The sequence below is a fragment of the Homo sapiens genome, chromosome 20 (genome assembly GCF_000001405.40).
Source record: "Homo sapiens chromosome 20, GRCh38.p14 Primary Assembly".
Taxonomy (NCBI): Eukaryota; Metazoa; Chordata; class Mammalia; order Primates; family Hominidae; genus Homo; species Homo sapiens.
Window position 1 is genome coordinate 3,712,749 of NC_000020.11, and position 12,071 is coordinate 3,724,819.

General features: G+C 46.3%; 2 annotated features.

Moving 5' to 3' along the window:
• Positions 3,723–3,782: a silencer, noted in NCBI's record as "silent region_12624". NCBI's record gives its function as "represses an Ori minimal core promoter by ATAC-STARR-seq in GM12878 lymphoblastoid cells {active_cell/tissue: GM12878}" and the evidence as "EXISTENCE:reporter gene assay evidence [ECO:0000049][PMID:35858748]".
• Positions 4,138–4,307: an enhancer, noted in NCBI's record as "experimental_60092 CRE fragment used in MPRA reporter constructs". NCBI's record gives its function as "activates a minimal promoter by MPRAs in K562 erythroleukemia cells, with activity observed for both the introgressed and non-introgressed 20:3697618 variant alleles {active_cell/tissue: K562}" and the evidence as "EXISTENCE:reporter gene assay evidence [ECO:0000049][PMID:34662402]".

Here is a 12,071-nt window from a genome sequence, read left to right on the forward strand (position 1 = left end):
CAGCAAGCAGAAGTGGGACCGCTGCAACGCTGGAGCCTCCCCAGGCAAAGTGAGAAATGGAGTGGGGGACTCCCATTCACCAGCCAAATCCACACCCCACTCTCTCTGAGCCCCTTAGGGAGGCTGGGGGAGGTGGAAGGGGGCTTCCTGCACACAGCTCTCCTCCCTGACACCTGAGAGGGAGGCGCGCCCAGCCTGGGGTGGGGATGCACTACACGATGCCCAGACCAAGGCAGTTATTCTCCAAGCCATTCAGGAGCCTCCCTGTACCACTGAGTACTCTTAAGAACCCCCAAGAGGCAGTCCCGTGTTGTGGGGGACATAAGGCCCCAATGTCCAGGACACTCCTCAGGTTTTCTCTTTCCCCTCTCACTGTCCTGTACGTTTTTTGGTTTTTGGCTTCTTGTTGTTGGTTTTTTTCTTTTTGTTTTGTTTTTGCTTTTGAGATGGAGTCTCACTCTGTCGTCCAGGCTGGAGTGCGGTGGCACAATCTCAGCTCACGGCAACCTCCACCTCCCGAGTTCAAGTGATCATCTTGCCTCAGCCTCTCGAGTAGCTGGGATTACAGGCATGCACCACCACATCCGGCTAATTTTTGTATTTTTGGTAGAGACGGGGTTTCACCATGTTGTCCAGGTTGGTCTTGAACTCCTGACCCCAAGTAATCTGCCTGCCTCGGCCTCCCAAAGTTCTGGGATTACAGAGGTGAGCCGCTGCACCCGGCCACTATCCTATACCTTCACCCCCACCTTGGGACAGGAAAGGAAAGCCCCCACCACAGCTAGTTACTGTTACATTACTGCAGCCCATCTTATTGAGGGCCTAGTTTGTGCAGGCACTTGACATGTGAAGCAGATGTTAATTGCTCCAAGCAATCCCAGATACAAGCAACAAGACTTTTTTTGGTTTTTGTTTGTTTGTTTGTTTTTGTTTTTTGAGACAGTGTCTTGCTCTGTCGCCCAGGCTGGGGTGTCCTGGTGCAATCTTGGCTCACTTTGGCTCACTGCAGCTTCGAAATTCTAGGCTTAAGCAATCCTCCTGCTTCAGCCTCCTAAGAAGCCGGGATTACAGGCGCTTGCCACTATGCACGGCTAATTTTTTAAGTTATTTTGTAGAGACGGAGTCTCCCTATGTTCCCAGGCTGGTCTCAAACACCTGGGCTCAAGTGACTCTCCCACCTCGACCTCCCAAAGTGCTGGAACTACAGGCGTAAGCCACCACTCCTGGCCATTTTTTTTTTTAATTTCACAACTCAAACTTAATTCAACTCAGTCCCTGCCTACCTGTACTGGTGGGGAGCTGGCCACAGCAAATTAGGCCCCTGTACCCTGAGGGCAAGGCCACGTGTGCAGGTGTAAAAGGATGTGAAACCCTAAATCAGGGTGGATCCAGAATCGCAGGCCATGGTGCCCCAAAGCAGATGTCTGGTGACATTCCACCCTGAAATGCTCAGGCTACAGAGATATTAGGTCTCTATCACTCTGTTCCTCTTTATAGCTCCTGTGTCCACTCCTATGCTTGGGCCATTTCCTCTTTCGGCCAAAACACAAAGGGTTCATCCCATTACTTCCTCCCTCAACAGCTGGTCCGGAGACACCCAGCTCTAGGCCTGTGGGGTTGTGACACATGGGTACCAATCCTTCAGTCCACTGGGACTCTATACATCCACCCCTTGGCTTCATGGTGGGAAAGCATCCCTTGACTTTGACCTTAGTCATATGACTTGCTCTGGCCAATGGATGTGCACGGACATGACACAAACTAAGTCTTGAAACGTACTTAAGCAGTTTGCCTTTCCCCCTGAATTTCTGTCATTGCCATGCAAGGGGCAGGCTCCAACTAACCTGCTGGTCCAAAGAGGATGACGAACACATGCAGATGACCTGAATCAGACCCATGGATTGAAACAAAACTCAGCTGAGCCCAGCCTACGTCCACCAGACCAGTCAACCTGTGGATGCGTGAATTTATTGCTGGATGCTGCTGAGAATTTTGTGGCTACATTAGCAAGATGATACAAGGCCTAAGTCCCAGAACAACACACCCAGAACTTGCTTACCTTTCCTTAGCATGAGGAGAGCAAAGACTTGTCTACCTTGATTAGTCAGGGAGCACTGCTTCCTGTCATTTCCTTGAGTATACAGCAAACTAGGTAAATAAATAAAAATAACTAGGTAGGCTGGGCACGGTGGCTCACGCCTGTAATCTCAGCACTTTAGGAGGCCGAGGTGGGCAGATCGCTTGAGGCCAGGAGTTCAAGACCAGCCTGGTCAACGTGGCGAAACCCTGTCTCTACGAAAAATACAAAAATTAGCTGGGCCTGGTGGCAGGCGCCTGTAGTCTCAGCTACTCAGGAGGCTGAGGCACGAGAATCGATTGAACCCGGGAGGTGGAGATTGCAGTGAGCCGAGATCACACTACTGCACTCCAGCCTGGATGACAGAGCGAGACTCTGCCTCAAAATATTTTAAAAAATGTAATTTCTCAGTAGGTCACACTGTTACACATTCATCTAATAACAATTATTCTTTTTCTTTTTTTTTTTTTTTTTTGGAGATAGGGTCTCACTGTCACCCAGGCTGGACAGGCTGGAGTGCAATGGCACAATCTCGGCTCACTGCAACTTTGACCTCCTAGGCTCAAGTGATCCTCCTGCCTCAGCCTCCCAAGTTGCTGGGACTACAGGTGAGTACCACCAGACGCAGCCAATTTTTGTATTTTTTTGTAGAGATGGGGCTTCACCATGTTGCCCAGGCTGGTCTCACACTCCTGAGAGTTCCCAGTCAAGTGATCCACCCACCTTGGCCTCCCAAAGTGCTGGGATTACAGGTATGAGCCACCATACCCAGTGAATTATTCTCGTTCCAGATAGGAAAACCAAGTCATAGGGAGGTTAGAGAATTTGCCAAAGACAAAACTTTTTGGTTGAAAAAAAATAAGTTTTGCTACAAGTATAGAAAACACCAAATAACGGTGTTTTAAATAAAATAGAAGTGTTTCACCCTCTCCCTCAAGTAAGTGTTGGCATCCAAGATGATATGACAACTCCACAATCATGAAACTAGATCCCTTTTTATTTTTTGGCTCAGTCATTGTCAATGGGCTGCTTCCAGTCATTGTCCAAAGTGGCTGCTTGCGCTCCAGCCACTGTATCTGCATTCGGGAAAGCAGGATGGAGGAAAGGACAAAGTAGGCCATGCCCTCTACTTTAAGATAACTCCTTAAATTGCTGATGTGGTGGGTCACTCCTGCAATACCAGCCACTCAGGAGGCTGAAGCAGGAGGTTCACTTGAACCCAGGAGCTTGAGGCTGCAGTGAACTATAATTGTGTCACTGCATTCCAGCCTGAGTGACAGAGTGAGATCTTGTCTCTTAACAACAACAAAAAAGGTAATTCTTTAAATTGTACACTTTATTGCTGCTTATATTCCACTAGAAGCTAGAAGTTAGTCACATGGTCTTAAGTCTTTATTCTAACAGGTGATGTGCCCGAGTGAATCCTGGGGGCCCAGTGCTAAGAAGTAGAGGGAGATGAAGCCCTGCCCTCCTGTGGAGCAACCAGGACCTTAATTCAGTCATTCATTCCTTGGACCTACCCAGATTCCAGCCTCAGGCCCCTGCCCACCTCCTTGCCAGTATCTCTGCAGAGCCTCCTGCCTCCCCCAGAGGGTGCCAGAGCCCTCTGCTTCCTCAGCCTTCAGACCCACTTGCTGTGTCTCAGGTGGGGACAACTCAGTCTATAGAGGCCCAAGGGAGATCTTTGAGACCCATACTGTAGTCAGCTTGGGGCAGATGGGAGTCATGTAGCTCACTGGCTAAAAGCCTAGGTCCTGCATAGAGCTGGGTTCAAATCCAGGCATATCCATCACCTGCTCTACGATCCCAGGAGTCACTCAATGACTCAGAAGCTAGAGTCCTCTGGAAAGCTTGTATGAAGAGTTCCCAGGGCCTGGAACATCAAAAGAGCTCTGAGAATGTTGGCTCTGCTGTTGCTTCTCTTATTGGGTATCTGAAGGCCGTACTCTCCTCTCTCCTCCACCCGAGGTGACCTCTACTCTCATAGCCACACCCTGGACCCTCACTCATTCAGTCACCTCACCCAGTCTGTCATCTGTCCCTCTGGCTCTCCTCTCCTGTTCATGCATCTTGTACTCACCCACTTCTGTCCCTGAGTGTTTCAAGGCTCTGGGGTTTTCAGAGACACTGAAGGGACCTCCCTCCTCAACACAACCACAAGGTCTAGGTGGAATGACCCACTAAGGGACCGGCTCTGAAGCCAGAGACTTCCAGGGAAAGTCAACAAGCCCAAGGATGCCCGTTACAAGAAAGTTAAAAGACCCATGTACATGTCCTCCCGTTTTATTCCCTGCTCAGGGTCTGGGCATACAGTGGAACACATGCAGTCCCCAAAGGACACCGTCTGTACAGAGTCAGATGGAGTTAAGAACATTTAGCCGGCTGGGCGCGGTGGCTCACGCCTGTAGTCCCAGCTACTCGGGAGGCTGAGGCAGGAGAATGGCGTGAACCCGGGAGGCGGAGCTTGCAGTGAGCCGAGATCGCGCCGCTGCACTCCAGCCTGGGCCACAGAGACAGACTCTGTCTCAAAAAAAAAAAAAAAGAATATTTAGTCTGGGCACGGAAGCTTATGCCTGTAATCCCAGCACTTTGGGAGGCTGAGGTGGGCGGATAACCTGAGGTCAGAAGTTTGAGACCAGCCTGGCCAACATGGTGAAACCCCATCTCTACTAAAAATACAAAAATTAGCCAGGCATCTGTAATCCCAGCTACTCAGGAGGCTGAGGCAGGAAAATCACTTGAACCCAGGAGGTGGCGGTCACAGTGAGCCAAGATTGTGCCAGTGCACTCCAGCCTGGGTGACAGAGCAAGACTCCATCTAAACACACACACGCACACGCACACATATTTAAACCACCACACCAACATCTAGTTCAAGATGGTGGACTGAGAACTTGTCTCTGCCATTCCTGGCCCATCCAATACCACTGAGAGCACAGTAAGCAAAGGGAAAAGGAGACAGAAGGGCTGGGAACAGGATGGCTGGGGGATGGGAAGTATCCACTGCACAGGATTTTGATTTAATTCTAGAAGATAGAAAGAGGGAGGATCACGTTCAGGAACAGATGCGGGTAAAGGAAACCAGAGCCAAAGCACGCTGAGAGAAAGCTGCCCCAGAGGCCGGAGCAGAAGTGGACTCTCTACAGGGACTCAATACACCCCAAAGGGTTGGTAGCTGGCACACGTACCTCTCCACCCCCACATGTAACACTGCAGGGCAGAGGAAATACCCTAGGTGAGTTCCAGTATCAATCAACCTGCCCTTTGTTCATAAAGATGAATTGGTTACCAGGTATTACCAGACAGGTGAGGAAGACCAACACAAAGAGAAAGATCCAGAAACAAACAGGCCAGGCGCATTGGCTCACGCCTGTAATCCCAGCACTCTGGGAGGCCAAGATGGGTGGATCACCTGAGGTCAGGAGTTCAAGACCAGCCTTGCCAACATGGTGAAACCCTGTCTCTACTAAAAATACAAAAATTAGCTGGGTGTGGTGGGGTTCTCCTGCCTCAGCCTCCCGAGTAGCTGGGAGGCTGAAGTAGGAGGTTCACTTGAACCCAGGAGCTCGAGGCTGCATTGAACTATGATTATGTCACTACATTCCAGCCTGAGTGACAGAGTGAGATCTTGTCTCTTAACAACAACAAAAAAGGTAATTCTTTAAATTGCACACTACATTGCTGCTTATATTCCACTGGCTAGAGGTTAGTCACATGGTCTCATGTCTTTATTCTAACAGGTGATGTGCCCGAGTAAATCCTGGGGCCCCAGTGCTAAGAAGTAGGGGGAGATGAAGCCCTGCCCTCCTGCTTGAACCCTAGAGGTAGAGGTTGCAGAGAGCGGAGATCATGCCACTGCACTCCAGCCTGGGTGACAGAGTGAGACTCCATCTCAAAAAATAAAAAATAAATAAATAAATAAATAAATAAATAAATAAAAACCTACAGCAAAGAACAAAGAGCTATTGCACCGTTACTGTGGGCCTGGCAGTATTATGACAACTTTTTTTTTTTTTTTTTTTTTTGGAGATGGAGTATTTTTCTGTCACCCAGGCTGGAGTGCAGTGGCTCAATCTCAGCTCACTGCAACCTCTGCCTCCTGGGTTCAAGCGATTCTCCTGCTTCAGACTCCCGAGTACCTGGTATTATAGGCACATCCCACCACACCCGGCTAATTTTTGTATTTTTAGTAGAGACCGGGTTACAACATGGTTTCACCATGTTGGCCAGTCTAGTATCAAACTCCTGACCTCAGGTGATCCACCCGCCTCAGCCTCCCAAAGTGCCAGGATTACAGGCATGAGCCACCACACCCATCCAGTGTTCTGACAATTTTATACTTATTAACTCATTTAGCAACCCTCTGAGCTAGATGCTATTGTTATCTCCACTTACAGGAAACTGAGTCACAGAATGGTACAGTAAAATAACCTTGACCGAGGTTTACATGGCTGGTAAGTGGCAGAGAAATGAAACTTGAACCCAGGCAACCTGTTTCCTGAGTTGGACTCTGAACTACTCAGCCATACTGCCTATTTATTTATTTATTTATTTACTTACTTACTTATTTATTGAGATGGGGTCAGCCGGGCATGGTGGCTTACGCCTGTAATCCCACCACTTTGGGAGGCTGAGGGGAACAGATCACTTGAGGCCAGCAGTTCGAGACCAGCCTGGACAACAAGGAGACAGGGTCTCGCTCTGTCACCCAGGCTGGAGTGCAATGGTGCAATCATGGTTCACTGCAGCTTCGACCTCCCAGGCTCAAGCGATCCTCCCACCTCAGCCTCCCAAGTAGCTGGGACCATAGGCACCCACTATCATGTCCAGCTAATCGAAAAAAAAAAATTATATAGAGATGGGGGTCTCACTATATTGCCTAGACTGGTCTCTAACTCCTGGGCTTAAGCAATCCACCCACCTTGCCCTCCCAAAGTACTAGAATTACAGGTGTGAGCCACCGTGCCTGACCAATACTTCCTCTTTAATAAACTAAACAAAAAGTGAACAAACCAATCCCGGAGGGAACAGATAATTCAAGGAATACAAGAAAACTTATGAAAAGAAAGATTCTAGTGCCAATATGTTCATAAAACAAAAAAAAAGCAGCTATGAAAAGAAAGCAAAAAATAATTCTTGGAAATTTAAAATAGAATTGCTGAAATAAAAAGAAATTCAATAGAAAAGGGTGTGAACATCTGTGGTTTTGGTTTCCAAAATTAGTTCACTCTTCTTTGGGTAAAAATACCCTGATTTTCCTGCTGTATTCTCAAGCCCTGTGGGTTGGTGGAATTGACACCTCTTCCATTTACTGCACGAGAGAAGCATGTTGCTGCTCACAGTTCATTATGAGGAGCCAGCAGGTAAAGACAACACTGAGGGCAGATGAAAGATATATACTGACCCTGGGTCCTTGTGGACATCATTGAGTCCCTGGATCAAGCCTTACCTGAAGCTAAAGGGATGAGTGCTTCTCACTGTTAATAGCCACTGATCAAATTCCATAGAAGGACTCCAATTATCCTTGCCTCAGTTGTGTGTCCAGCCCTCGGATGAGCTACCATCAAGGGAAACTGCCAGACCTTGGTGACAAGCCCACCCACTGAAAATGGGGAAAAAACCCAAGTCACATCATTGAACTGAAAGAGCTGCAGTTCCCCGAAAGACAGGAGAGAAGGAATGCTGGATAAACACAACAACTACTTCATCTCACTGCACCTGCAAAGAATCCAGGCACAGGAAGGTGGGCACAGCAAGTAGTCTTTCTGGTTGACATAACAAAGACAACATCTGTTTCTTCTCTCAGAAAGAAGTAAGAAAGGCAATTGGAGAACCAGAAACGACAAAATCTATTCCAGGACCAAATAGAAAGAAAACACATCTGAAGCATGATTTTGAACAATTAGTGGGGTGTAAGAAAAGAGAATCCATTTGACCTTGACATCTGAAACAGCAAATATTCTCCATCAAGGCACTTTAGGGTAGAGGAAATGATACTATGTTTCCTTCTCAAAGGAGCTATCTGGTTACGTGGTTCTGCAGTAAATGACGTTTATACAATCATAACATCCGTTGGTTTTCAATTTTCAGAATCAACCTGAAGATAAAGCATGGAAGATTTCATTATAATTACCGAACAGCATGCAAATGTTACAAACTTTGACCATGAAAATGTAAAAAAGAGCCCAGGCGCAGTGGCTCACGCCTGTAATCCTAGCACTTTCGGAGGCCGAGGCGGGTGGATCACAAGGTCAGGAGTTTGAGACCAGCTTGGCCAACATAGTGAAACCCCATCTCTACTAAAAATACAAACATTAGCTAGGCATGGTGGCACGCACCTGTAGTCCCAGCTACATGGGAGGCTGAGGCAGGAGAATCACTTGAACCCAGGAGGCGGAGTTTGTGGTGAGCCAAGATCACGCCGCGGCACTACAGCCTGGTCAACAGAGCAAGACTCCATCTCAAAAAAAAGAAAAGAAAAGAAAAGAAAAGTAGACAGCAGAAATTAGAGGGAGATGGCAGGTGACCTGGGGCTGGGGGAGGCACAATTTTTCTTACATAGTGATAGGGCTCAAGAAATTCTTTCTAAAATTGATGTATGAGGAACGAAATTTTAAATATAGATTGTTTAGAACTATAAGTAGCACCAACACAGGACTCCAGTAATCACACAGCAAACAAAACTGAGAAAACAGACATGGGCGGGGAGATGGGAATGGGTGATTTCCATTCCCTGCTTTAATGATGAGGTGTCAGTAGATGCTCTCTTGAGTTACTAAATTGAGAAACAAAGATAAAGTATATTGTTTAGAGGAGTGATGTTCAAACTCCAGAAAAGGCTGGGCGCGGTGGCTCATACCTGTAATCCTGGCACTTTGGGAGGCCGAGGTGGGCAGATCACTTAAGCCCAGGAGTTTGAGACCAGCCTAGGCAACATGATGAAGCCCTATCTCTACTAAAAAAAAAAAAAATACAAAAAATTAGCAAAGCATGGTGGTGCACACCTGTAGTCCCAGTTATTCAGGATCTCACTACTGTACTCCAGCCTGGGTAATGAGAGTGAGACCCTCTCTCAAAAAAAAAAAAAAAAAAAGAAGAAGAAGAAGAAAACTCCAGAATATATAAAAATGAAAAGAGGGCGGAAGAGTGGAACTGCGGGGTAGAAAATTTTGCATTTTGTTTCATCTCTCTGTATATGTTGAACTTTTTTTTTAACCTACATGTACTACGTCATATCCACAGCCCCCAACCATCCACCAGGCATCAACTGCTGTGTTTATATGGAGGGTTGAGCAATCATTCCTGCCTCCTTCCAGTTCGTCTTCCTGTACTGCAGAGGCTAGAAAACTAAATTTATATCACCCAGATTCCCTTCCAGCTACCTTAATGCTACCACCTCATTCAGCCATCATTGATTCTCCACTTCACCAAACTGGTCAATAATTGTCTCTTCTAAAAATATTAGAATTGGGACTAAGAGACACTACAGCTGACCCTTAAACAACATGGGTTTGAACTGTGCTAGTCTGCTTATACACAGATTTTTAAAAAAATAAACATATTGAAAAAAATTTTGGAGAGATGTGACAATTTGAAAAAACTCACAAACCACATAGCTAGAAATATCAAAAAAAAAAAAACTGAAACAGAGTTAGGTAGGTCAGGAATGCATAAATATATATGTTAATTGGCTGTTTATATTATTAGTAGGGCTTCCAGTCAACAGAAGGCTATTAGTAATTAAGTATTTGAGTCAAAAGTTATACACAGATTTTTGATGATGAGGAGGATTAGTGCCCCCAACCCCCATGTTGTTCAAGGGTTAGCTATATTTGAAATCTGCTGGTAGCTGGAATTGGGCAACTAAATTCACGAGATGTGGAACGGTCGTATACATGGAGAATAAATAAATAAATAAATAAATAAATAAGTATTTGTTGGCCTGGTGCAGTGGCTCATACCTGTAATCCCAACACTTTGGGAGGCCAAGGCAGGCAGATGACTTGAGGTCAGGAGTTCGAGACCAGCCTGGCCAACATGGTGAAATACCGTCTCTACTAAAAATACAAAAATCAGCTGGGCGTGGTGGTGTGCACCTGTAATCCCAGCTGCTTGGGAGGCTGAGGGATGAGAATTGCTTGAACCTGGGAGTCAGAGGTTGCAGTGAGCCGAGATTGCACCACTGCACTCCAGCCTGGGCGAAAGAGTGGGACTCTGTCTCAACAACAACAACAAAAAAGCAATTGTTAAAAGAATAAGAAAACAAGCCACAGATTGGGAGAATATATTTGCAAAACAAATATCTGATGACCCAAAATACACAAAGAACTCTTAAAACCCAACACTAAGAAATCAAACAACCCCATTAAAAAATGGACAAACGGGCCAGGCATGGTGGCGGTGGCTCACATCTGTAATGCCAGCACTTTGGGAGGCCGAGCAGGGCAGATCACCTTAGGTCAGGAGTTCTCAACTAGCCTGGCCAACATAGTGAAACCGTCTCTACTGAAAATACAAAAATTAGCCGACCGTGGTGACGTGCATCTGTGGTCCCAGCTACTTGGGTGTCTGCGGCAGGAAAATAGCTTGAACCAGGGAGGTTGCAATGAGCTAAGATCGCGCCACTGCACTCCAGCCTGGGCAACACAGTGAGACTCCGTCTCAAAAAAAAAAAATGGGCAAAAGATGTGAACAGACACCTCATCAAAGAAGATATACAGATGGAAGATAAGCATATGAAAATATGCTTAACCTGATGTCATTAAGGAATTACAAATTGAAGCAACAAGGTACCACTAAACCCCTATTAAAATGGTCAAAATCCAGAATGCTAAAAACACCAAATGCTGGTGAGGATGTGGAGTGACAGGACTCTCATTCGTTGCTGGTGGAAATGTAAAATGGTATGGCCATTTTTAAGACAGTTTGGCAGTTTCTTACAAAACTAAACATAGTCTTACCATACAATCTAACAATTACACTCCTAGATAGTTACCCAATTGAGGTGAAAACTTATATCCAGGGCCGAGCACAGTGGCTCACACCTGTAATCCCATCACTTTGGGAGGCCAAAGAGGAAGGATTGCTTGAGGCCAGGAGTTCTTTCTTTTTATTTATTTATTTATTTATTTTCTTTTGAGACAGAGTTTCGCTCTGTCACCCAGGCTGGAGTGCAGTGGAGTGATCTCATCTCACTGCAATCTCTGCCTCCCGGCTTCAAGCGATTCTCCTGTCTCGGCCTCTGAGTAGCTGCTGGGATTACAGGTGCACGCCACCATGCCCAGCTAATTTTTATATTTTTAGTAGAGACAGGGTTTCACCATGTCAGCTAGACTGGTCTTGAACTCCTGACCTCAAGTGACCTGCCTGCCTCGGTCTCCCAAAGTGCTGGGATTACAGGTGTGAGCTACTGTGCTCAGCCAAGGCCAGGAGTTCCAGACCAGTCCTGGCAACACAGTGATACTCTGTCTCTACAAAAAAAAATTTTTTTAATTAGTCACATGTGGTGGCACACACTTGTAGTGTCAGCTACTGGGGAGGCTGAGGCTGAGGATCACTTGAGCCCCAGGAGTTTGAGGTTGCAGTGAGCCACGATTATGCCTCTGCACTCCAGCGTGGGCAACAGAGTAAGAGAAAGAAAGAGAGAGAGAGAGAGAGAGAGAGGAAGGAAGGAAGGAAGGAGAAAAGAAACGAAAAGAAAAGAAGGAAGGAAGGGAAGGAAGGGAGGGAAGGAAGGGAGGAAGGAAGGAAGAAAGAAAGAAAGGAAAGAAATAAAAAAGGAAAAGAAAAGAGAGAGAGAAACCTTATATCCATACAAAACCCTGCGCAAGAATGTTTATAGCTGCTTTATTCATAATTGCCAAAAACTGGAAGCAACTAAGAAGCTCTCCAATGGGTGAAAGGATAAACAAACTGTGGTATATCTGTGCAATGGAGTATCATTAAGTAATAAAAAGAAGACTTAGCAAACCACAAAAAGTAATATGCATACTAA